General features: G+C 42.0%; 1 protein-coding gene across 1 annotated transcript in view; it reads right to left on the minus strand.

Moving 5' to 3' along the window:
- LAMA1 (laminin subunit alpha 1) overlaps positions 1-23056 on the minus strand; it is a 176056-nt gene that overhangs the window by 40985 nt on the left and 112015 nt on the right. Inside the window, exons 30-40 of the mRNA NM_005559.4 lie at positions 19538-19659; positions 17185-17271; positions 16719-16912; positions 15016-15158; positions 12631-12720; positions 10915-11026; positions 9835-9994; positions 3411-3621; positions 2801-2917; positions 2511-2674; positions 373-508 (exon numbers count right to left, since the gene is read on the minus strand). Of these exons, the coding sequence (NP_005550.2) occupies positions 373-508; positions 2511-2674; positions 2801-2917; positions 3411-3621; positions 9835-9994; positions 10915-11026; positions 12631-12720; positions 15016-15158; positions 16719-16912; positions 17185-17271; positions 19538-19659 (1536 nt within the window). The remainder of the gene's footprint in view (positions 1-372; positions 509-2510; positions 2675-2800; positions 2918-3410; positions 3622-9834; positions 9995-10914; positions 11027-12630; positions 12721-15015; positions 15159-16718; positions 16913-17184; positions 17272-19537; positions 19660-23056) is intronic.

Below are 23056 nucleotides of genomic sequence, written 5' to 3' on the forward strand. Positions count from 1 at the left end.
AATTTAAAATGGCTGAGGCAAGAGAAAACAAAGACATTTTTAAGTAGATAAGGAAGGAAACCAGCCATTCAATAAAGATTTTCACCATGGTTATAGAAAAATGTCTCCAGTAGGTATCAAGTAGCATCATCATTTTTAGCGCAAGGAAATGTGAGATTGTTCTCATCTCCACACTGGTTTCTAGTCTGTATAAAGAAGTATTTATGACCTTAAAAAATTAAAACACAGATCATATGATGACAGAAGCCAGAAACAGATTCCACCAGAAAAGAATGTTAATAGGCAGAAATTGGGGCCACTGAATCTCTGCTCAAACCCGGTACAGAAAAATCTCCCACAGAGCCCAGAAAAAGAAGCCACGTCGTTTCCTACCAGGCTCGTCTCAGTCACAGTCCTGTGAGCATCTCTGGCCAGTTCCTCCGATTCTTCAATCAGGCTCTGGATGTTGTAATGGACATAGGCTGCACTGGTGGCATTCAGGGACACATTTCTGATGTTTTCAAGGCCACTATCAAAGCAGCATATTTAGATACGTTATGATAAACTAAATCAAACTTGCCAATTCACTCACAAAAATCATAAATGCCTACCAGTTTTGAAAGCCTCCTATCTTCTTTCCCCTTAGAAGAGTATCATCCATAAAAAATAACAACCTATGGGTTCCCATGTAACTTCAAAAGTAATCTTTGAGAAGCCGTAGCCACTTTGTCATAACACTCAGAACTGCTATTCAATCAATACCCAAGAAGAGACTATTGCTGTTTCCCTTAGACGACCATTCATCACTTTCCACCAGCTGCCCTCAGCATTCCTCAATCTCTGTTCCAATCCCCTGCGCGTGTCTAGGGCGCCACTGCATGCTTGCATTGGTTATAAACTTCCTGCAACATACTTGGTAACCTCCAAGAAGTGTTTCTAAGCATACCTGAGGCCGCTGAATCTTATCCCTCTAATGGCATACGACAATTTTACAAAATTCACTAGAGATTTTGGAGGAAGATCAGCTAATATTTCAATCAGCTTAACATCATTCTAACAAGTGGGCACATTGCTTAGGAACTTGGTAACTGGTAATGGCACAATGTCATCCAGTGCTCTCTGTCTTGAAAATAAAGTCTGGCAATGGGCACATCTTTGCCTGCTGAGTAACTCACTTCATTTTCTTTCCAAGGTTATTGAGTCGGGCAATTCCCAGACCGAATATTAGCAGCTATTGTTTGTTACTATTGGACTGGCAAAATTCTGTGATTTATAAATAAAAGATAATTATTTAACTTTGTGTTAAATCACAACAAATTGTTTCTATTACTCATACGAAGTAATAAAGATTTTGTTTTAGCTAGGTATGGAGTCAGAATATTTTTTTCTCTTTGGGGGAAATGATGAAAACTGATGAGAAGAGAGGAGCTGGTATCTAATGCCATTTTCCACTACTGATCCCTAAGACATATTAGGAAGCAGTACTCAATTTAGCGCATAATTTATGCAATATTCTATCTTATACGATTTTTAATTGCTTTTGTTGTGTGAACTAATCTTTTATGTCAGCATTTTTCCAATAAGGAGACACGCATCTTTCCCCTTCCACAGAACATGCACAAGAACATACATTTTCCCAGTGTGGTCAGACTTGTCACCCATAACGCATAGCAAATTTTAAAGAAAGAAATTTACCAATTAACTCACAGTATTATGTAAATCACTGATAACACCTAAAACTTTGGTTCCCACATTTGCAGCACATTAGAATCACCTGAGGGTTTTTAAAAAATCACAAAATCCTACACCCCAGACCCATTAAGTCACAATCTTTGGGGGGAAGGCAGCTAAAGGACAAAGGCATCGGTGGCTTAAGAAGCTCCCCAGGTGATTCCAATGTGCAGACAAGTTTGAAACGGATGGCTAAAATTGTGCTTCTCGTTTAAAGGAATTTTTAGCAAGTTGAGTACATATTTTTTAAATATCCAAAAAATATAAGTTAAAGTAATTGTATTACAATGGCAGACTTTCAGGCAGTAGAAAATAATTGGAGGTGGTATCTCTCAGGGATTGGAAAAGAGACTCCCAACACTTCTATAGGTAGAGAGTGGGCAGCCACATCCTCCAACCAAATAATAAACTCCAAAGAGGCAAGATCTGTAAAGAAATTAATAACCTCATTCTGTTCCACCTGCAACCTAACAAAGCCCTGAGCATTCAGTAGGTGCTTAATAAAGCCTTGATGGCTTGATACTGTAGCATAATATGTGTTTTATTATATTAATATTATACTGTAGCATATTATGTGTTTTAAGTCTTCTCCTGTTATTTGCATTTTTCCACCATATATGTAGGCCAATGGTAAACTATGTTAGCAGACACAAGGAAATCCAACTTGCCAGGTAAATAAAACAGGAGTGCTCATTTTTACACAAAGGAAGAGTGACCCATCACTGTGAATAGAAACATCCATCTATTTCTCCGATCAATAGACTGCAAGCTCTTGAGTTCCCACAAAGGCGTGTTCCTACCTGTACAGAACATCTGCTAGTCTCTGGAACTCAGCGGCATGGTCCTCAGCTCTGTAGACCAGGTCGACTGCGTTCCTTTGGGACATGTGCATGACCAGGTCATCTATGTGGTGCCTGATTTTGGCAGACCATAAAAGTAGCTTATCCTGGTGATCCTCTAAGTGCTACATGGAGAAATTAATATTGTAAATATATGCACATCTACTTAATAACAGATATGTGTGCATATAGAAAAGATGTGTGAAGATTCTTTAAAAACTGTACTGTGGCTGTGCTGAGATGTAATTTACCTCTAGAGCATCTTGTACAGCATCTGTTTGTGCAGCAGCAGCATCTATCAATCCTCTTCCTTGGACAATGAGCTCTGAGGTCAGATTTTGTTCTTCTTGAACATGCAGCTTTTTATCCTGCAGCAGAAACGGCATTTTAAGGGTGCTTCATAAAAGCAACCCTGCTTCTGACCTTTGGTGCCTAATGCTACGTGCAGAAGTTAGTGCATGGGACTCACTTTTATTTTATTTTAAAGTTATTTTCATTTTTTGAGATGGAGTCTCATTCTGTTGCCAGGCTGGAGTGCGGTGGCATGATCTCGGCTCACTACAACCTCCATCTCCCAAGTTCAAGCGATTCTGCTGCCTCAGCCTCCCGAGTAGCTGGGACTACAGGCGCATGCCACCACGCCCAGCTAATTTTTGTATTTTTAGTAGAGACCGGGGTTTCACCATGTTGGCCAGGATGGTCTCGATCTCTTGACCTCATGATCTGCCTGCCTCGGCCTCCCAAAGTGCTGGGATTACAAGCGTGAGCCACCCAGCCAGGCCAGGGCTCACTTTTAATTGCTTACGTTGGAGTATTTTGTTACCTGTTCTAATTGAGAAGGAGAGAGCAAGTGAGACTCACACTGAATTCTCTCAGATTAGCATTGACCATGAGCAGCAGGTGGTTGCTTTCCTGCATCTTTGCCTCAGCTTCCCTCACGAGCGCCTCAGCCGCCTTTAGTTCATTGTTGTGCTTTGAAAGGACGTGGCTTGCTGCTTCTTTCAATACCTCCAATTCTTCCAGCGGCTTCTGGTAATTTTCCTGAATTTGTGACAATAAATCTTCAGCAGCCCTGATAAATATGAATGGTTCACATAGTAAGTAAATGAACAACAAAGCTCCTATCTCTGAAATAATAGTGGAAAAAATTTTTACGTATTTATGCCTAGTCTCTTTTTGAAATTGTAAGTGATACATCATAACTTCTTAAGAATGGAAACAATTTTTCTAAGATAGCTACAGGTATGGCAGGTTTATATTTTATCCTTAACAAATTGTCTTTTTTTTTTTTTAGTGGTGCATCTCACAGATACATTTATTCATGACAGGAAGTAAATGGTACTTATATAAGTGCACAGTGATGTTCCATGTTCCCATATAGTTTGCTGAAATTTACAGGCACGGTGATCTTTCATCTCATGTGTATTTCAAGTTAAGCCGGTTAGGATGACCACAAGCAGGCACAAGTCTTGAAGCTTTCAAAGCTTTACTTCTTATTTTTTGAGAGAAGACTTGCTCTTGTCCCCTAGGTTTGAGTGCAATGGCTTGATCTCAGCTCACTGCAACCTCCACCTCCCATGTTCAAACGATTCTCCTGCCTCTGCCTCCCAAGTAGCTGGGATTAAGGTGCCTGCCATCACGCCCAGCTAATTTTTTTTAGTAGAGACGGGGTTTGGGTTTCACCTGTTGGCCAGGCTAGTCTCAAACTCCTGACCTCAGGTGACTTGCCCACCTCGGCCTCTCAAAGTGCTGGGATTACAGGCGTAAGCCACTGCGCCCGGCCCAAAGCTTTACTTCTTTTATCAGCAGCTCTGATGATTTTATAAATGATGAAGCTCATTAAATCCCACCTCCCCAAATTTCCTGGTAAACTTGGGTCCAGTGGGCTTTGTGGGAATCCGAACACTTAAACTTTCTAATACATTTTAGTAATGGAATTAAAAAAGATCATCTCCATGAATCTGGATTCAGGAAATTGGGACAACATTCTGTGTTGATGGGAACTGCAATCTTTCATTATATATAATACAGCAAGAAATTGAAAGAAAGCTATTCAGTGATTTGTTAAGAATTTACCAATTTATATATACGATAAAAGGATTTTCTGCAGCTAGTTAAGAAGAAACAGATTTCATAAAAGCTTTCAAATTCAAATTGACAAAAAGATATGATTTGTACCATGGATAAATGCAAGCTTTAGAATACCAAAAGATTTTTTTCCTATGTCTTTATAAATATGCCATCAAATTGCTGATTTAAATCAATTTTGAATTTATAGCTGCATAGAATAATAAAATTTCATGCTACAAATCCTTGCAGTGGTGGAGTATATCCTATTAACTCTTCATTTTAATTTGTCAGGACAATTTTGAAAAATTCTATGGAAAATGCCCTGTAAAACACCCTCAGCTTTCACAGGTGTCAGGTCACTGGGTTAAGACACGACCAAAAACATTTTTCAAGGTTATAAATTTGAACTCTGACATTATTAGAATAACATCGGCACTTATAATTTTTAATGATATAATTTTTAACGATAATAAAGACGTTGCATTATGAGCAGGCAACAAGAACTAAAACACATACGTAAGAAAACACAAATAAACCCAATATATTTCTAATGTGTGATCATGAATCTATTATTCCTTATTATTAAATAAGATATCTCTCTAAGAAAATTTAAAATAAATTAGCCAGGCATGGTGGTGCGTGCCTGTAGTCCCAGCTACCCAGGAGGCTGAGGTGGGAAAATCGCTTGAGCCTGGGAGGTGGAGGTTGCAGTGAGCTGAGATTGCGCCACTGCACTCCAGCCTGGGTGACAGAGTGAGACCGTGTCTCAAAAAGAGAAAAAAGAAAGCTCAAAACAGAGGCCAAATTTTCATCTACAAGATGACTCTTCTATCTAAACTACAATCAGGTGAAATGACATAGTCCTCAATGACTTGAACAAGATTAATCAACAAAAAAACCCCACTCAGCACTTCATTAGCTTCTTCTAGCAAAATTAACAGAGGAAACTGGTGTTTCTCAAACTATGTTCCTCTACAACACCAATGTCCCATGAACTGCCAGGCAGATTCCTTGAACAAATATTCCAGGGTGAAAGAAGTGAGCCGGATCCTCCACGGGGCTGCTGATGTGCGTCAGCGTACTAAAAGCTTTGAGAAGACCTGCAGTACAGAACTTGGCTCTCCTTAGTAGACACTGTGTCTTGGAATGTGCTTCTTTAATGACATATCTTTGGTCGGGCGCAGTGGCTCATGCCTGTAATCCCCGCACTTTGGGAGGCCAAGGCGGGCAGATCACCTGAGGTCAGGAGTCCAAGACCAGCCTGGCCAACATGGTGAAACCCTGTCTCTACAAAAATACAAAATTACAAAAATTAGCCGGGCATGATGGTAGGTGCCCGTAATCCCAGCTACTCAGGAGGCTGAGGAGGGAGAATCGCTTGAACCCGGGAGGCGGAAGCTGCAGTGAGCTAAGATCGCACCACTGAACCCCAACCTGGGAGACAGAGGAGACTCCGTCTCAATAAAAAAAAAAAAAAAAAAAAAATCTTTTAATAGGTCTGAGATACCAGCATGGAAATCATTTGAAAAACAGCTACAAACAATAATCCGAAGTGTACAGTAAAGAGTCAACGTGGCGGGCTGGATGGAGTCTGCTCTCCTCTGAAAGGCCTGCTGGCGAGGTGGGCTGCGTTCCCACTGATCCCTAACTGCTAAGAGTAGCTCACTACCTGGGCTGTTTGTGCAAGCAACATGGTTTATGCTGAACACCTGCTTTCCTTCTGGGAGTCGACTTTTGCTATGTGCTAGGCAGAGGGTGCCTACCAGTACAGCTCCAACAAAATCCCTGGATACTGCATCTCTGACAGGCTTCCCTGGGCAGAAACATCACACACATGTTGCTGCATTTTTCTTGCTGGGGGAGGAGTGCTCTCTGGGATCCCACATGGGGAGAGGACTTCAGGGATTTCTCCAGACTCTGCTGTGTCCTTTTGTTCCATCTGGCTGGACTTCCTTAATAAATCTTAGCTGTAAGTACAGTTATATGCTGAATCCTGGGGGTCCTGGTGAAACTCTGAATGTGGTGTTAGTTCTGGAGACCCCCGACCCAGCATGAAAAGTAATCAGTCTGTGTGCTAAACTTCTCATCTATACAATTGCCATGCTTCAGCATGAACCACCAATGTTTTAAGAATTATAATTAAAAAGCAGATAATTCCTAAAATAATCCATGTATTTTGAAATGGCATATATATAGGGATTATCTATGGAAAATCAGAAAGTGGAGGCCAGAGAATACATTTTAAACTCTTGATTTTTAAAATAAAAGGTCTCTTTAGTAGTATTTTAACTTACAAATTAAAGGGATCCTAGAGGCCCTCGCCAATAGGGGAGGGTCAGGAGGCACTGAGGGGAACAGGTGGGGGTGGGGGCTGGCCCTGCCTACCCACCTCCTTTCAGGTCTCTCCAACCAGGTCTTCCCAGGAACCACGCACTCTGGAGGCAGTGCCCCAGGGCTGGGCTCCACTCCCTAACCTTCCTCAGCCCCCCACACATCTGAGTTGCTGGGGAGCTTGTTAAGGATGGAGAGTCCCAGGCCTGCCTTGCAGATCCTAGGAAGGTTAATATTTGTTCAAGGAATCTGCCCAGGAGTTCATGGGACACTAGTGTTATAGAGGCACATAGCTTGAGAAACACCAGTTTCCTCTGTCAATTTTGCTAGAAGAAGCTAATGAAGAGTGCTGGGTTTTTTGTTTTGTTTTGTTTTTGGTGGTTAATCATGTTCAAGTCATTAAGGACTATATCATTTCATGTGATTGTGGTTTAGATACTAACATCATCCTATAGATGAAAATTTGACCTCTATTTTAAACTTTCTTATTGTATTTAAAGTGCATATTCAGAAAATAAACTTTCCCTAAATTGACCAGGAGCTCCTAGTGGGCAAAAGGCTCTATTGTTCCCCTGTATGTTCCCAACTCCTGGCACAATGCTTGTAACCAGGGTTCAGGTCACTTTGCTGAATGAATGAATGAATGAACTGACCTCAGAAGGGTAACGGTGGGAGGGGAGAGCCCCACAAAATGATTCTCTAGGATCTGCAGGGTGGGCCTGGGAATCTCCATCCTTCACATGCTCCCCACCAACTCAGATGTGTGGGGGGCTGAGGAAGGTTAGGGAGCAGAGCCCCACCCAGGGGCATCGCCTCCAGGGTGGGCAGGTCCTGGGAAGCCCTGGTTGGAGCTGCCCGAGAAGAGCACAGCTGAAGCCTCAGTGTGCAGTCGGGGCTGCAGGACTAACGTTCGCACCTTGGCTTCTGTCACCACTACCCATTGCCTCTCAAATTCGATGCAAACTTCAGCTGAGCTTCTTTGGCTCCAGTGTTCCCTTGTTCAATGGCTCTCCACCTATGCTAGACTTAGATCTCGTTTCCCCGCCCCTGAAAGGCCCTCGATGTCTCCGACTGTCCAAATTCCACCTGCCCATCTTTTATGGAATGGGTCTCAAATGGTACTTCCTTTTGTTCTGGGTGGGAAAATAATAGGGTTTAGACTCAAACAGATTCAGGTTTGTGGTCAGGTTTCATATTGTCCCGGGGGCTTAACATAGGGCAAGTTACTTATATTCCCTGGGCCTCAGTTTCCTCAACTGGGTTCTCCCCTACTTGGAAAGACTGAGATGATCACAGAACACAATGTGAGAAGAGAAGCCAGCACTCTCCTGGCACAGAGGAGGGGCTCCACAGACAGCTGCTCACGCCCATCTCCCAGGACCACGTCCTCCTCTCATTCCCCCTGCGCAAGGCCTTTAGATCCTAGTTCTCTCAGAGCCCTTTCCAGGCCCTATTATTCTAGTAATTAGATTACTAGTCCTCTCTCCAAACTCCATCCAACTGTAAGCACCTCCTTTTGTTTTTCACCTAACAAATCAACAACGTCAAAAATTATGCTCTATGATGAAAAAAGACACATACCCAACCCTCTAGTGTGTTGCTGGTGGCAGTGAACATTGTTTTTAAAAAATATAAAAAAAAAATTATTTGGAAGTGCATGTTAGGAATCCTCAAAACACAAATTCTTTGACTAAATAATTCCACTTCTTCTTCTTTTTTTTTTTTTTTTTTTGAGACGGAGTCTTGCTCTGTCGCCCAGGCTGGAGTGCAGTGGCATGATCTCAGTTCACTGCAACCTCCGCTACCCAGGTTCAAGCAATTCTCCTGCCTCAGCCTCCCGAGTAGCTGAGATTACAGGCATCTACCACCATGCCCAGCTAATTTTTGTATTTTTAGTAGAGACGGGTTTTGCCTTGTTGGCCAGGCTGGTTTTGAACTCCTGATCCCAGATGATCTGCCCGCCTCAGCCTCCCAAAGTGCTGGGATTACATGCGTGAGCCACCACGCCCAGCCAATAATTCTACTTCTTAATATCTACCCTGAAAATAATCTGAAATACAGAAAAAGAAGAGATATATACAGTATAAATAAATATTTGATATTTCAATATAGAAAAAGATATAAAACATTTGAATAAGAAGTCCCTCACAACATAATTTAAAATAGCAAAATATTAAAGTTTAAATATCTCACATGACTATATCATTTCATTAGATTATAGTTTAGATAGTAACGTCCAGAGTAGAGTTTTAATAAAGTATCATGTAACTATTTATAACAGCACTTCAGACATTCATTACAACCTGCAGAGAGACAGCCTGTGCTAGTATATCAAGTAATACCTGTGTGGAAATGCTAAGATAAAAGCTGGAAAGGAAACTCCAAACTCCTTGTGACTGTATGTAAGAATGCTTTGTGATCTCTGTGTCACTTCACATCGTGGGTTTCAATGTAACTATACTTTTTTATATAACTAAGCTCAATTATTCTGGCATAACATTGACCTGTCTTAGAGTTCATGGTATGGGTGGCCACCAACGATTTTTTTCTATGAGAGTTTACTGCCTTATCCTTGATCTACAGTACCATGAGGCTATGCTGTTTGTGCTAAGTGGAAACATCCCGGAATCACAGAAAAGGACAGAAGCTACCGCATGATAGCACAAAGATAGATTACACTGACTGCACAGATTACACCTTTCTATATTTGGAGGGGTCAGTACCCATCTCTTCATTTACTTGACCACAGGGCCCCTTCTCCTCTCTTAGGATATTTCATTTCCAGTGAGCACTTTTCTTCCACGATGCCTCCTTCTCCTTTGGAGATAGCGTGCAAGTTTCTCTCTCTACTTGGTTGCATTGCACACAGTAATTAGAAACTTACTTGAGTTCAAGGGTGGCATTTTGGTGCAACTGTGTGAAGTCTCTTATCTGCATGATTTCTAGCAAAGATGTACCATTCTGTTGCATGTTCTGAAGAGTAGAATTGGGTAGTAGGAAATCTTCATCCAAAGTCTGATTTAAAGTTGTCTTTTCCATAATTTCTATGGAGAAAATTCATCAATTATTTAATAAGCCTCTCAAAAGTGGCTAGTACCAAGTGAAGAACTTAGAAACTTCTCTGCTGAGGACTGCTCTGTTTACCTAAGCTGAGTTGGACCTCCATGTCAGGCCAGGCCACCTGGCATATCCCAGTGTACTCTGCACATCCCCTAACTAAACATTCATGAACTTGGGATTACTGGTCTATTTCAAAGTCTTCTCATGCACCAATAAACTCCCTAAAGGCAAGGACATGGTGTCAACCTCAGCATTTCCTTGTACCTGGCAGAGACATCTGCACATGAAAAATAAATGTTCTCAATAAATATTTACTGCATAAATAAACCACCAATGCTTGATCCTACTTTTTTTATTAAGTATACTTTGTTCTAATAATTTCCTTACCTTTTGCCCTATAAAGTCTGATTTTTATTGGATTCTGTACTTTTTAAGCCCTTACACTATAATATAAAAAGAAGAGCGATCATATGTTTCTGGTAGCCAGAAAACTGAAAATAGTATGCTAAAAGCCACAGCACACCCAACTGAGAAGTGATTAAATTATTCTAATGTGATGGATATACTTGGTACCTAACTGAAGTCCCAAATCCTGTCAGCTCCTATTCTGGGCAAATGGATGGAGAGCTACCATACTAACTTTACCATAACAGGGCTTGAGAATTAGGATCTAAGTTTTAGGCATAATGCAGAAAATAAAAAAAGAAATATGCATTTTTTTAAAGCTAAAACTCTCAGTCAAAGACTAAAGTTTGCACATCTCAGGATCCCCAAACTATTCCAGCCCCTCTGGTTCCGGAAACCCGATGCAAGAGATATACATCTATTCATATGTTTAATAAAGCAATGGTGACTTCTTACTAGATAAGCACAGATACTTCAAACTAGACACTGCCCACACTACCTGTGATGCTCATCTGCAGCCTCTCAATGGCTATGGCCAGGTCTTGACTCTCCTTGAAGATTCTCTCAGTTGCCCTATTCACCTTTTGGGTACTCGCTAACATCCTAGTGAGCTGGTGGAAAAATAAAGTCTCAGGTTAGTTTGACTTTAAGTAATTAGTTTGACTTTAAATAATACGCAAGTTGTAATATTCCACTGTTGCCGCTTATAAGCAACAACATATATTCCAGAATATAGAGTAAAGATGAGCATTATCATGCAAGCCGAGCTTAATATTTTGGGGTTAGAAATGGACTAAGTAGTTAATGAAATAATTTACAACTCACTCAGCATAAGAAAAGATGGGTATGTTTTTAAAAGCAGGCTAATTGTGTATTAAACTACAGATTCTCCTAGTGGCTATACTGTGAGGGCCCTCGATTCACTTTAAAACCCAAATATACAGAATATAGAAAGTAAACCTTACTGATTTGTATGGCCTATGAGATGTTAGTCTCTAGGAGTTAAGAACACGGAGTCAGGCAAGCTGATTTTAGACCTGATTCTCCAGGCTGTGGACAGGCCCAGACATCTCCAAGCATTGTCTGTAACACTTGGGAAACAGCAACGCTTACCTCCCAGGGCTGCTACGAGAACTACACAAGACGAGAGCCAGGAAGTCAGCAGCCCAGAGGCTGACACTTAGCTGTCCTCAGCTGTTATTTCTACTGGGATTTTTACTCTTTGTTAAAGGAAAGGTTGTTTGTAATTTCCAAGAATGTAGAGTAACCCAGTCTGAGTTTGGTGTTTTCTAGTCAAGACCAAAGAGAATAACGGATACAGAGAATTTATTTTAATCAGCCTATTTCCAACCAAATGTTTGCTTGATGAGGTACTTAAACCCAAACTTAAACCCTTCAACTCTTTCCAAAACATCGTTAATTCTAAATTAACAGGAGCCAAACTATACTTCCTAGGGTGATGTTTGTGTATGTGTGCATGTGTTGATGGAGATTAGACATCCATATGTATAGATACACCATCACAGTACAGACACACACACACACACACACACACACATACAAAATTCATAAATGAAAAAACAGTAAATTTGACAATAATCCTTCCTCACCATCTGCAGAAGGGGAGATTCTTTTTTAGGTCACTAAATGCCATTCCTCTGGCACAGGCTAAACAGAATAAATAATTCCCTGATGACAGAAAAACAAGCTCACTTGCCATTCAGGGCCCTAAAATCAGAACCACCCCAGCCTGAAGCCTGAAGTTTGCACAGATGCCTCATCATGAGGTCTGTGCCCTCCCTGCTCCACCCAGCAAGCTGCAGAGAGCATTACTGATGTTCAGTCCGTGCTTTTGGGCTCACCGTGTACTTCGTTACTGAATGAATTTAGGAGAAGGAAGAAACCTCAGCAATCTTTTCATCCCCGCCCCACCTTTGTTTCAGAGGAGAAAATGAAAGTCAGAGCCAAGAGACTGCCCAACTCTGTCCTCAGCAGAGATGACAACAGACATTAAGTCGGGAGCCTTTTCCCACTAAACCACAGAAACTGGCAGGGTCAAAACCAATTTGATGATTAAGTACCTGGAGCACAGCTCGTGGGAGGAAGAGGCTGGCATGATCTAATCAGAACCTTCCAGACAGCCCCAAGGCAACTGCTCAGGAGGGCTGATGGGAGGGACCAGGAGGAAGGTTGGTTGGTTATGGAAAGAATTTACCTTCTTTTGCAGGTTGTCCGTTTCTTCTGCAACACCTTCAAGCTTAATTTTTCCCAGGTCCTTTTGCATATTTTCTTTTAATAAAGATTCCTAGGAAGAATGGAGGAAACAAATTACAATGCTTCGAAGTAAAATGTTCTGATTCTTAACTAAGAAGCACTTGCATTTCTTTTTTGTTCACAGAAAGAAATTCTTCTTTCCTTGGAACTGTCATTTTAAAAAAAAATGGATCACATTTACTTAGGTTTCGATTATAGCGACATGATTCTACACTGCCATCCTTTGCATTATATTTCTGATATAGATATAAATTTAAAATCTGTTGTGTTCAGCAGAATCTGATACTGCTGCAATTCTCAGATAAAAGTCTGGCTTTATCTCAATAGCAGAGTCACACAAATTTAACTATAATTGCAACACCTAAGAAAAAAATGCCTTTTAGGCTAAACTACAAAAGAATTCAATAAAGAAAGACTTTATAAATACTAAAAATAAAGAAAAATAAAGTGCTTAATTTATGCCAACAGCCTTCTAATTTCTTGTATAATTTTATTTCAACCTTAAAACTTGATGAATACTTTACATAAACACAAAAAGTTATTTAAAGAAAACGGACAAGTGGTTTATTTAGAGCAAATCATTCAAAATGAGTTAAAATTTAAATCAAATATTTGTCTTATTTGATATATATAAAATAGTTATATCCCTGGGACCAAGACTGGCAGATATTATACTGATCGTGTATATAGTGATTGGAAAAAAAAGTTAAATATTCTTTTTTTTATAGAGGTAAAAGCTCTCATTTTTCAAAAACACTTTGTGACGTTTGAGGAAAGTATAACATAAAAACATCTCTTAGAGGTCCCTAACCTTTCTGAACTACCATTATAGAGAAAAGACCACTGCAAATCAAGACGGATTCAAGAACCAGCCCCATCCCAGCGCACACATAAACACACGCACACACCTAAGGAAGTCCTAAGTTTGAGGAAAACTCTTATCTAAGAAAAGGCATTTAGGAATGGCCATCCCTTTTATTGCTACCTGGTGCACTGCATAGATTATGTCAAATTCTAACGCATATATAAAGCAAAATTTAAGAATCACACTGTTTTCCAATTAGAATTAAAAGTAGGTCGGGCGTGGTAGCTCATGCCTATAATCCCAGAAATTTGAGAGGTCAAGGTGGGAGGTTCTCTTGAGCTTAGGAGTTCAAGACCAGCCTGCACAACATAGTGAGAGCTCATCTCTATTAAAAATAAAAATAAAAGAACTAGCCAGGCATGGTGGTGTGTGCCTGTAGTCTCAGCTACTTGGGAGGCTAAGGCAGGAGGATCCCTTGAGCTATGGAGGTTAAGGCTGCAGTGGGCCATGACTGCGCCACTGCATGCCAACCTGGGTGACTGAGGGAGACCCTGTCTCAAAAAAATAATAAAATAAATAAATAAGATAATAAAAATAAATAAGTGCTATAGTAGGATGCTGTCTACTAAGTTAATTTCTTAACTCCTCACCCTTTTTTGACCCAGGCTCTGTTGATGAAAACATAAAACTATGATTTACTGCCAGACATTTAATGTAGCCTTCCAGGGAGGAGAGATTTTGTGCCCTGCAACTTTAGTGCAGTGAAGAATAATACACTTTAAAAATAATATACCTTAAAGAAGATACTGTTCAGATTTATTTTCTGCTTTTCTTCTCTTTTTCTTTTTCTTTTTCTTTTTCTGAGATGGAGTCTTGCTCTGTCGCCAGGCTGGAGTGCAGTGGTGTGATCTCGGCTCACTGCAACCTCCACCTCCCAGGTTCAAGCAATTCTCCTGCCTCAGCCTCCCAGGTAGCTGGGACTACAGGCACGCGCCACCACATCCAGCTAATTTTTGTATTTTTGGTAGAGATGGGGTTTCACCACGTTGGCCAGGATGGTCTCGATCTCTTGACCTCGTGATCCACCCGCCTTGGCCCCCCAAAGTGCTGGGATGCTGGGATTACAGGTGTGAGCCACCGTGCCTGGCCTATTTTCTGCTTTTCTAATAGGGCAGCTGTTTGCAAATACCCAAAGTTGTCTTACAGAAGAGCAAGTGGACTTGGCCTTATCCCAAAAGGCAGAATGAGGGCCACAGAGGGCAGCATTGATGAGGAGTCCTCCAGAGAGCACTGAAATGATGAGAGCTGTCCCACCGTGAAACAAGCTAGCGTGTGAGATAAGTAAGTAAGTGCCTGTCACTGGTCACAGTCAAGGAAAGACTGGACACCTGCCCGCAGGGGCTGATGGAAGTTGGGCTCTCACAATGTGGGGAGGACACATGGAATGACTCCCACCATTCCCAATGACTATATCCCTTAATGATACAAGTGTCTGTTCATCTCTGTATTTCCAGTACCTACCTGGAGATATTTAGTTGTATTTTCCAGGTTTGACAAAATTCCATATGGGACAGGGATAATGCCAGTGAGGTTCAGAGAAAGAACGGCATCACCAATCTCATCCAAGTCATTCAGCAGCACACCTACACACTCATCATCACAGGCTACAAGACAAATTTTTAAAAAGGAGAGTTAAAGTTAATGCGATGTGGTCTGCCCATTTTTTCATGGAGTTGCGCAAGTTGTTTTGTGAAAATGACACATGCGGTCAGAGTACACTCCAAGACCCCGTGCACCACATCTGATCTCATTCTCACTCCAACTGTGCCATGGGTGGCACGGCAGGAAGTGCTAGGCCCCTATTCAATGATGACGCCAAGACTCAGATCAGATAAGTAACTTCCCAGAGGTCACACAGAAAGAAACAGCTGAGGCCAAGAGTGGCGCCCAGTAAGCAAAAGGGTCTTTGCTTACTAAGTGATAAGGTGGTAAGAGAGTTGAAACAACTATGAGCAAGCATGAAAAACAGCAGGGGGAAGAGGGGTGAACACACGCTGACGAAAAGAACTTTATTGACTGTAATGAAAGGCGAGGAAGGCAAGCCAGGGAAGCAAAGGCAAGGAAGTAAGGCAGAACTGGAGAACGGATGCACCTAAAGACAGGCAGGGAGTTATGGCACACATTTCATTCTTCTGCCCCCATCTTTATGCTGCCTGGCTCATCTTTAACTAGGACCCACTGCACTGAATCCCAGCATTCCCTTCCACAGCCTGCTCTGTCACCTCCTCAGGCAGTTTGCAAATGCATCTTTCACAAGTACAAGTGAAGGACACTGGAGAGAATAGTGGGGGTGTTTGTGCTTATAACCCACACAAAAGTCAAAGCAAAAAAGACCTCCAATGCCATGGTCCTAACAGGCCTCCCTATCTTCCCCATTAACCCCTGAGAAGACATCCCAAGCTGACTATCTCATGCACTTGCTGGTAGAATAAATCAGAACTGGAAAAAAAGTTTACAAAAGCCCACGACAGGCCGGGCATGGTGGTTCATGCCTGTAATCCCAGAATTTTGGGAGGCCAAGGCAGGCGGATTGCCTGAGGTCAGGAGTTCAAGACCAGCCTGGCCAACATGGTGAAACCCTGTCTCTACTAAAAATACAAAAATTAGCCAGGCAAGGTGGTGGACACCTGTGATCCCAGCTACTCGGGAGGCTGAGGCAGAGGAATCACTTGAGTCCAGGAGGCGGAGGTTGCAATAAGCCGAGATTGTGCTACTGCACTCCAGCCTGGGGGACAGAGCAAGACTCCATTTTTTTGTTTTTGTTTTTTTTTTAAGTCCATGATAGTCACGAGTGGAAGCTATCATGAAATTGGGGTAACACAAATGACAACCCCACAAAGCTGTTTCCTCTCCTGCACTAAATCACTCCTGGCTCCACTAAAGGAAATATTAATGCCACTAAAGGAGAAAGTTGAAATCACTGTGCTGCTCTGAGTGCCAGAGGAATAAACTGCTATCTTAGAACCTCCTGCCTCAGCTGGAAAACACATGATGAAAGGTTCAGTTCAGCAGATGCAACAGTGATCTATGCTTAGAAAATAAGAAAATGAAAATAAAATAGGATGTTTTTATTCTGCAGACACTTTAGCGTGCCGTCACCACTTCTTTCCCGACACATTTGGGAGGAAAAACCATCTTTACACATTTAGAGGAGAAATACTCACAAACACAATCTGTTTCCATCAGAATGTGCCTCGGTTCACACTCATCGCACCGGAGCCCCGAGGCCCCCAGCCTGCAAACGCACTGCCCAGATGTGCGGTCACAGTCACCGTGGACAGAGCCGTGCGGGTTGCAGTCACACTTCTGGCAACTGCCACCTGGTGTTTGAGGGTTCCCATAATAGCTTGAGGAGCACCTACAGAAAGGAAGGGACATAGGTGCAGACAGGATGGTCAATACCAGCTTCTAACTTGCGACAGTAATCATTTCCGCCAAATGAAATGCAAAGCACAGATCCATTCACCTTGGGAAAACTTGTTCTGGAACAGTAATGAGGTCTTATTTCAATCAAGCACATCCAAACTGATAATTGATAATGGCTCCCAGATTACTATAGTAAATATGCCCAATACCTTATAAAAGAAACAGAGTGCCCAGGGATTTCCACATGACAATCCACCCATGTACCTTTCACAGTGTTTTCCTTCATAGCCCAGGAGACAGGCGTCACAACGGAAATCGTGGTCCCCTTCCAAGACACAAGTGGGACTAAAACTGGAGGAAAAGAATTTCTTTTTGAATTTTCAGATATACAATTTCCATCTTTCCTTAAGGTACTTATTCATTACTCTTAGGATACACCATACTGGTCTCAAAGTTATGTGATTACACATAGCTTTTTAGAGCTTACAATCTACCTGGCAAAAAGAAGGAAAATAAAAGTAATCAGTAAGTGCACACACATCTTGTATCCAAAAGACATTCATAAGACCCTGTCCAGGGACAATCATGTGAATGTTAAGTGGAAGAAGACTGACCTTAGGGATTATCACTAATTGGCCACCCAACAAGAGAGTGTCCCAAGGAAAAAGGGTCTTTGCTTACTAAGTGATAAGGTGGTAAGAGAGCTGAAACAACTATGAGCAAGCATGAAAAACAGCAGAGGGAAGATGGCTGAACACACGCTGACGAAAAGAACTTTATTGACTGTAACGAAAGGCGAGGAAGGAAAGCCAGGGAGGCAAAGGCAAGGAAATAAGGCAGAACTGGAGAACGGATGCACCTAAAGGCAGGCAGGGAGTTATGTGGTAGGCTGCCATAAGCAAAATGACAGAGCCTCTCAAAGTTTAATCATCGACTGGGATTTGATCTCCTCATTCATGGATTTCTGCTTTTGTTTTACTCCTTTTTCTCAACATCCTCTACCCTCTGCCTTCACGTTTTAAATTACCAATGTGCCATCTAGAGGCTGAGCTGGGTGCATGCAAACTACTGGAGACAACAATAAAAAACAAAACCAGTTAGAGCCAAGTCTGGTTCCTTTTCGTTAGCAAGATGAAGTTTCCAGCGTCAGTTATCAGCCCCATACCACTTCCGACTCTTTTTCCTCCTTAAAATAGTAAAGGGATAGACTTCAGTGGAAACAAAATATGTAGAAAATAAAGCGTGTGTTTTAGGGCATCTGAGATTCAGAGCACACAAGAATGTTCACAACCTGACAATCTCTTCCTGATAGCACAAACTTTAATTTATTAATGCGGACTTTGGGGATGTTTATAACCTTTTTATGATTGCAGAAGTAAAATATTCAAACAGCACAGAAACGTGCAAAGTAGTAGGGTAGAATGTCCTTCCCAATACTTCTCTGGGCACATATATAGCCACCTATAATATGGGTATGAATAGACGTGGATATGAATTTTTTCCAAAATGGCATCACACTCCATATTCAATTACATACTTCAATTGGCCATTTCTCCAATTCTGTGCCTACAGATATACCTTATTCTTTTCTCCGTGTTTGTAAAATATTTCACTCTAGGAATGTAACACAATGTATATAATCAATTCCCCGTAAGTAGATATTTCCGTTTTCCCCCTATTCCTCATGAGTAAAAAGCAATGCAAAAACACATCCATCTTTACACACACATGCAAGTATTTCTATAGCACAGACTACAGAAGTGGAATTGACAAGTCAAAATTTATATATATACATTTAATATAAAAAATAAGCACTAGTAACAACAAATTTTAGGATGCTTCATAGCTTGCAAGGGAAGTGTACATAGTGCCTCTCATTTGGTACTCACCATCAGGCATCATTTACTTGGAGGCAATAAAAAACAGAAGATTCAGACAAATATTAAAAGGAATACTTCATTGCAGTATACCAAGAGTTAACATTTGATCTTTGTATGTTCAATACCTTGCCAAATATTCTAAGCAATAATAAAATATTATTGATGAGTTATAATTTTCATTTGATCCAAAGAGGATTCTTTGATATTCTAATTCCCACTTAAAATTTCTGGTTCCCTTTTGCATTCAGGTAATTCTGTACAAGCATCATAAGTACAAGGTAGAAACTAGTCCCAATTTTATCACCATGTGGTATTTCAGCACTTAGGCACCAGCTTATATAAACTCTAACCCCATTCCCTTATATAAACTCTAACCCCATTCCCTTAAATGGTAATTGGGTTCTTTTGTATCATTATCAATAAAATTAATAGCAATTTATCTCCATGCAGATTGGATACATATGCTGTGGGCTAAAATGAGTCTTAAAAAACAAAACCTAAAAGTCCTTTCTTTAATTGCTTCCATCCAAACATCCAATACCAAAACAGATACTTTGCTTTTGAAAAGATTCTCTTCCAATGCTTTTGAGAATGAACACCTTTTCTTAAAATTAGCCTTTTGCAACCAATGGAGAATATTCATTAACAACAGACCACTCAGAGACCCTTGAAAATGAGGCTGAACTGGAAGCAGCCCTGGGCAGCCCAGCATGCCAGCTGCCCCTGTGGGGACTCACCTGGCAGGAGGGCTGTGAGGACAGGCACACAGAGCACAGTCACTTGCTGAGCCAGTCACCTTCCCGTAGTAGCCAGAAGTACACACATCACAATGGTCACCTGCTGTGTTATCGCCACAGTTCTGGGAGCCCACATTTAAAGGAAGGGGGAAAAAATGGGAAATTGTTAGAAATCATTCTTATCTGGTAATAGCTAAGCACTGCCACGTTTTATATCAGCTAGCTTTTAAAAATATTCTTCAGGAAAGGGGAGCATTTTCCTCCATATTCTTAAAATCCTGAAAACATTTCCCGCTCTGTGGCTTTCATTCATCCTAAGGCTGCATTCATCCACTACAGCCAAGAAATTACTAGTACATTCTTCTTAAGGAAAATAGACATAGGAGCCCTAAAAGCAGTTTGCAGAACCTTAAAACACAGATTTAAAATATTTAGTGCCCCAAAAAACAATTTGAAGCACCAGTTTTGCACACAGTCAGGGTTCAACAACCACATGTAAGGAGTTGAAGAATGGATAGATGATTTAGGAAATAGACAATGAGGGAAGAAAACTCATGGTTTTAGAGCACCACTGATAGATTACTGCAACCAACAACTAACTTCCAGTTAATTTTTTTCTTTCTTTTTTTTTTTTAAGGACGAGGTCTCCCTGTGTTGCCCAGGCTAGAGTGCAGTGGTGCAATCATAGCTCACTGTAGCTTTGACCTCCCAGGCTCAAGTGATTCTCCTGCCTCAGCCTCTCGAGTAGCTGGGACCAGAGGCACACGCCACCATGTTTGTCTAACTTTTAACTTTTTTGTACAGGTAGGGGGTCTTGCTATGTTGCCCAGGCTGGTCTCAAACTCCTGGCCTCAGGTGATCCTCCTGCCTTGGCCTCCTAAGTAGCTGGGACGACATGCACGAGCCACCCCATGTGGCATTTCCAGTTAAATTTTATATCATCCTTTGGACCTACGGTCTTGCTATTAAAAAAGGTACACTTATTTTGGTTGTTTTTTTTTTTTTGAGACAGAGTCTCGCTCTGTCACCCAGGCCAGAGTGCAGAGGCATTATCTCGGCTCACTGTGAGCTCCACCTCCCGGGTTCACGCCATTCTCCTGCCTCAGCCTCCCGAGTAGCCGGGACTACAGGTGCCCACCACCACAACCGGCTAATTTTATTTTTATTTTTATTTTTAGTAGAGACAGGATTTCACTGTGTTAGCCAGGATGGTCTCGATCTCCTGACCTTGTGATCTGCCCGCCTCGGCCTCCCAAAGTGCTGGGATTACAGGCGTGAGCCACCGTGCCCGGCCAAAAAGGTACACATTTTTAAAGCTAAAAGAACAAGCAGTTCTTGCCATCTGATTCCAATTTGAAATTGGCATTTGCTCAATTCATCTCTATTTACTCAGCCACTGGGCACAAGATTCCATGTCTGATGCAGCTGAATAGGTTTCCAGGATCAGTGAGGAACACCTGAGCAAACTCCCAGGCTGACTCACACTTTTATCCTTGGCAGTGAGAGGTGATACAGAAAGACATCTTGTTACATGTTAAAAAGGACTATTTTAAGTTCATTTAAATGTTTTTAAAATTCTAGTATTTTTCATTTTAAAGTTCTATTCCTATTTTTTTCCCTGATGAGGATAAATTTTACTGGGATCTACCTGACCTCTCAAACTCATCTCTCTGTAGAAGTAAAATTTGTAATCTCTCTCTTGAAAAGTAAAAGTGTTAATGGCATGGCCTAAACCTGACAAGGAATAAATATTAGATGATGAGAGAGAATTGAAGATTTTCAGGTTTTCCATGGCTAACACCAACTCCCTCTGACTTACGACAGACTGTGGGCTCCCTAGAGAAGCAAAGACAAGCTGCCCCAAGAGTGGCAGGGAAACAAGGACCCCCTAATGAGAACCAAAGTGTGGGCTGAATTAGTTGCTATGGGAAATTCACAGAGAATGCCTGCCAATATTTCACTGATGTAAAAAGGTTCAGTCGTATCTCCCAGAAGGCGGTGGTAGGGAGTGGGTAACCAGGACGAGGAGCTCCCAGGCTACCGCCCTTGTCCTCAGTCTCCCCAGCCCCTTCCAAGGCATACTTCCAATCAATCACTTTTTTTTTTGAGGTGGAGTTTCGCTCCTGTTGCCCAGGCTGGAGTGTAATGGGGCGATCTCAGCTCACCGCAACCTCTGCCTCCTGGGTTCAAGTGATTCTTCTGCCCCAGCCTCCCGAGCAGCTGGGATTACATGCATGAGCCACCACGCCTGGCTAATTTTGTATTTTTAGTAGAGATGGGGTTTCTCCATGTTGGTCAGGCTGGTCTCAAACTCCCAGCCCCAGGTGATCCGCCCACCTTGGCCTCCCAAAGTGTTGGTATTACAGGCGTGAGCCACTGCGCCCGGCCCCAATCATTTTTATGATAACACCAAATGCTCAGTGACCTGAACATCCTATATACTAATGACAAAATCAGATCCAAAAAGGTCTTCATATCTACCTGTACAATAAGCACAGGGGGAGTGCTTAGGAGATTATGTTGAAGGGAAATGAACTGCACTAAACCACAAAAGGATTTGAAAAACTGAGGATGGAAGGGAAGGTCCTGAGCTCAAAGAGCAAGGAAGAAGGGACTGAGGCGCTATATTGATGGGAAGAGTTCAAGGGTCTTGTGTCTAGTCAATGCCGTGAGGCAGCAGTGACAGGGCAGGTATGACTACCCTGTCCAGGCTGGGCCATGGAGACACAGCACCTCGAGTTAAGGAGGGAAGCTCCCACTGACTCTGGGAGCAAAGGCGTTAGGCTCAGGGCAGGATACCGAAGACAGACAGTGACATGCACACCACAGGCTGGTGAACGGACCCACGACCACTCCATCTGGCCTCCAGGCATGTGAGGGTACGTGACTTGGAGGGCTGAAGATTCAGGGCCTTTGGACATGGGAAAGAGGGATTTGATCAAGTAGTTTCACAAGGTATCTGTTAAGATCCCATCACTTTTCATGAATAATCTGAACTCATGGTTTATCTCAACAGCTCCAAAGAATAAAACTGCACCAACAGATGCATGGTCAGGGGCACTGGCTTAGAAAGAATCAGAGCTGCCCAAAGATGAGCAGAGCTGTTTTGGGAGTGAGCTCCCCATTGTTGCAGGTGTGTAAAATGTACACTAAATTACTGCCTGGCATGGCTGCTATAGTTCAGACTTAATATCTGAAGGGACAGCCGGGCGTGATGGCTCATGCCTGTAATCCCAGCACCTTGGGAGGCCAAGGCAGGTGGATCATTGGAGGTCAGGAGTTCGAAACCAGCCTGGCCAACATGGTGAAACCCTGCCTCTACTAAAAATACAAAAATTAGCTGGGTGTGGTGGCAGGCGCCTGTAATCTCAGCTACTCAGGAGGCTGAGCAGGAGAATTGCTTGAAGCCAAGAGGCAGATGTTGCAGTGAGCTGACTGCGCCATTGTACTCCAGCCTGGGTGACAGAGCAAGCCTCCATCTTGAAAAAAATAATAATAATAAAAAAATGTGAAGGGACT

This window comes from Homo sapiens, chromosome 18 (genome assembly GCF_000001405.40).
Source record: "Homo sapiens chromosome 18, GRCh38.p14 Primary Assembly".
NCBI lineage: Eukaryota > Metazoa > Chordata > Mammalia > Primates > Hominidae > Homo > Homo sapiens.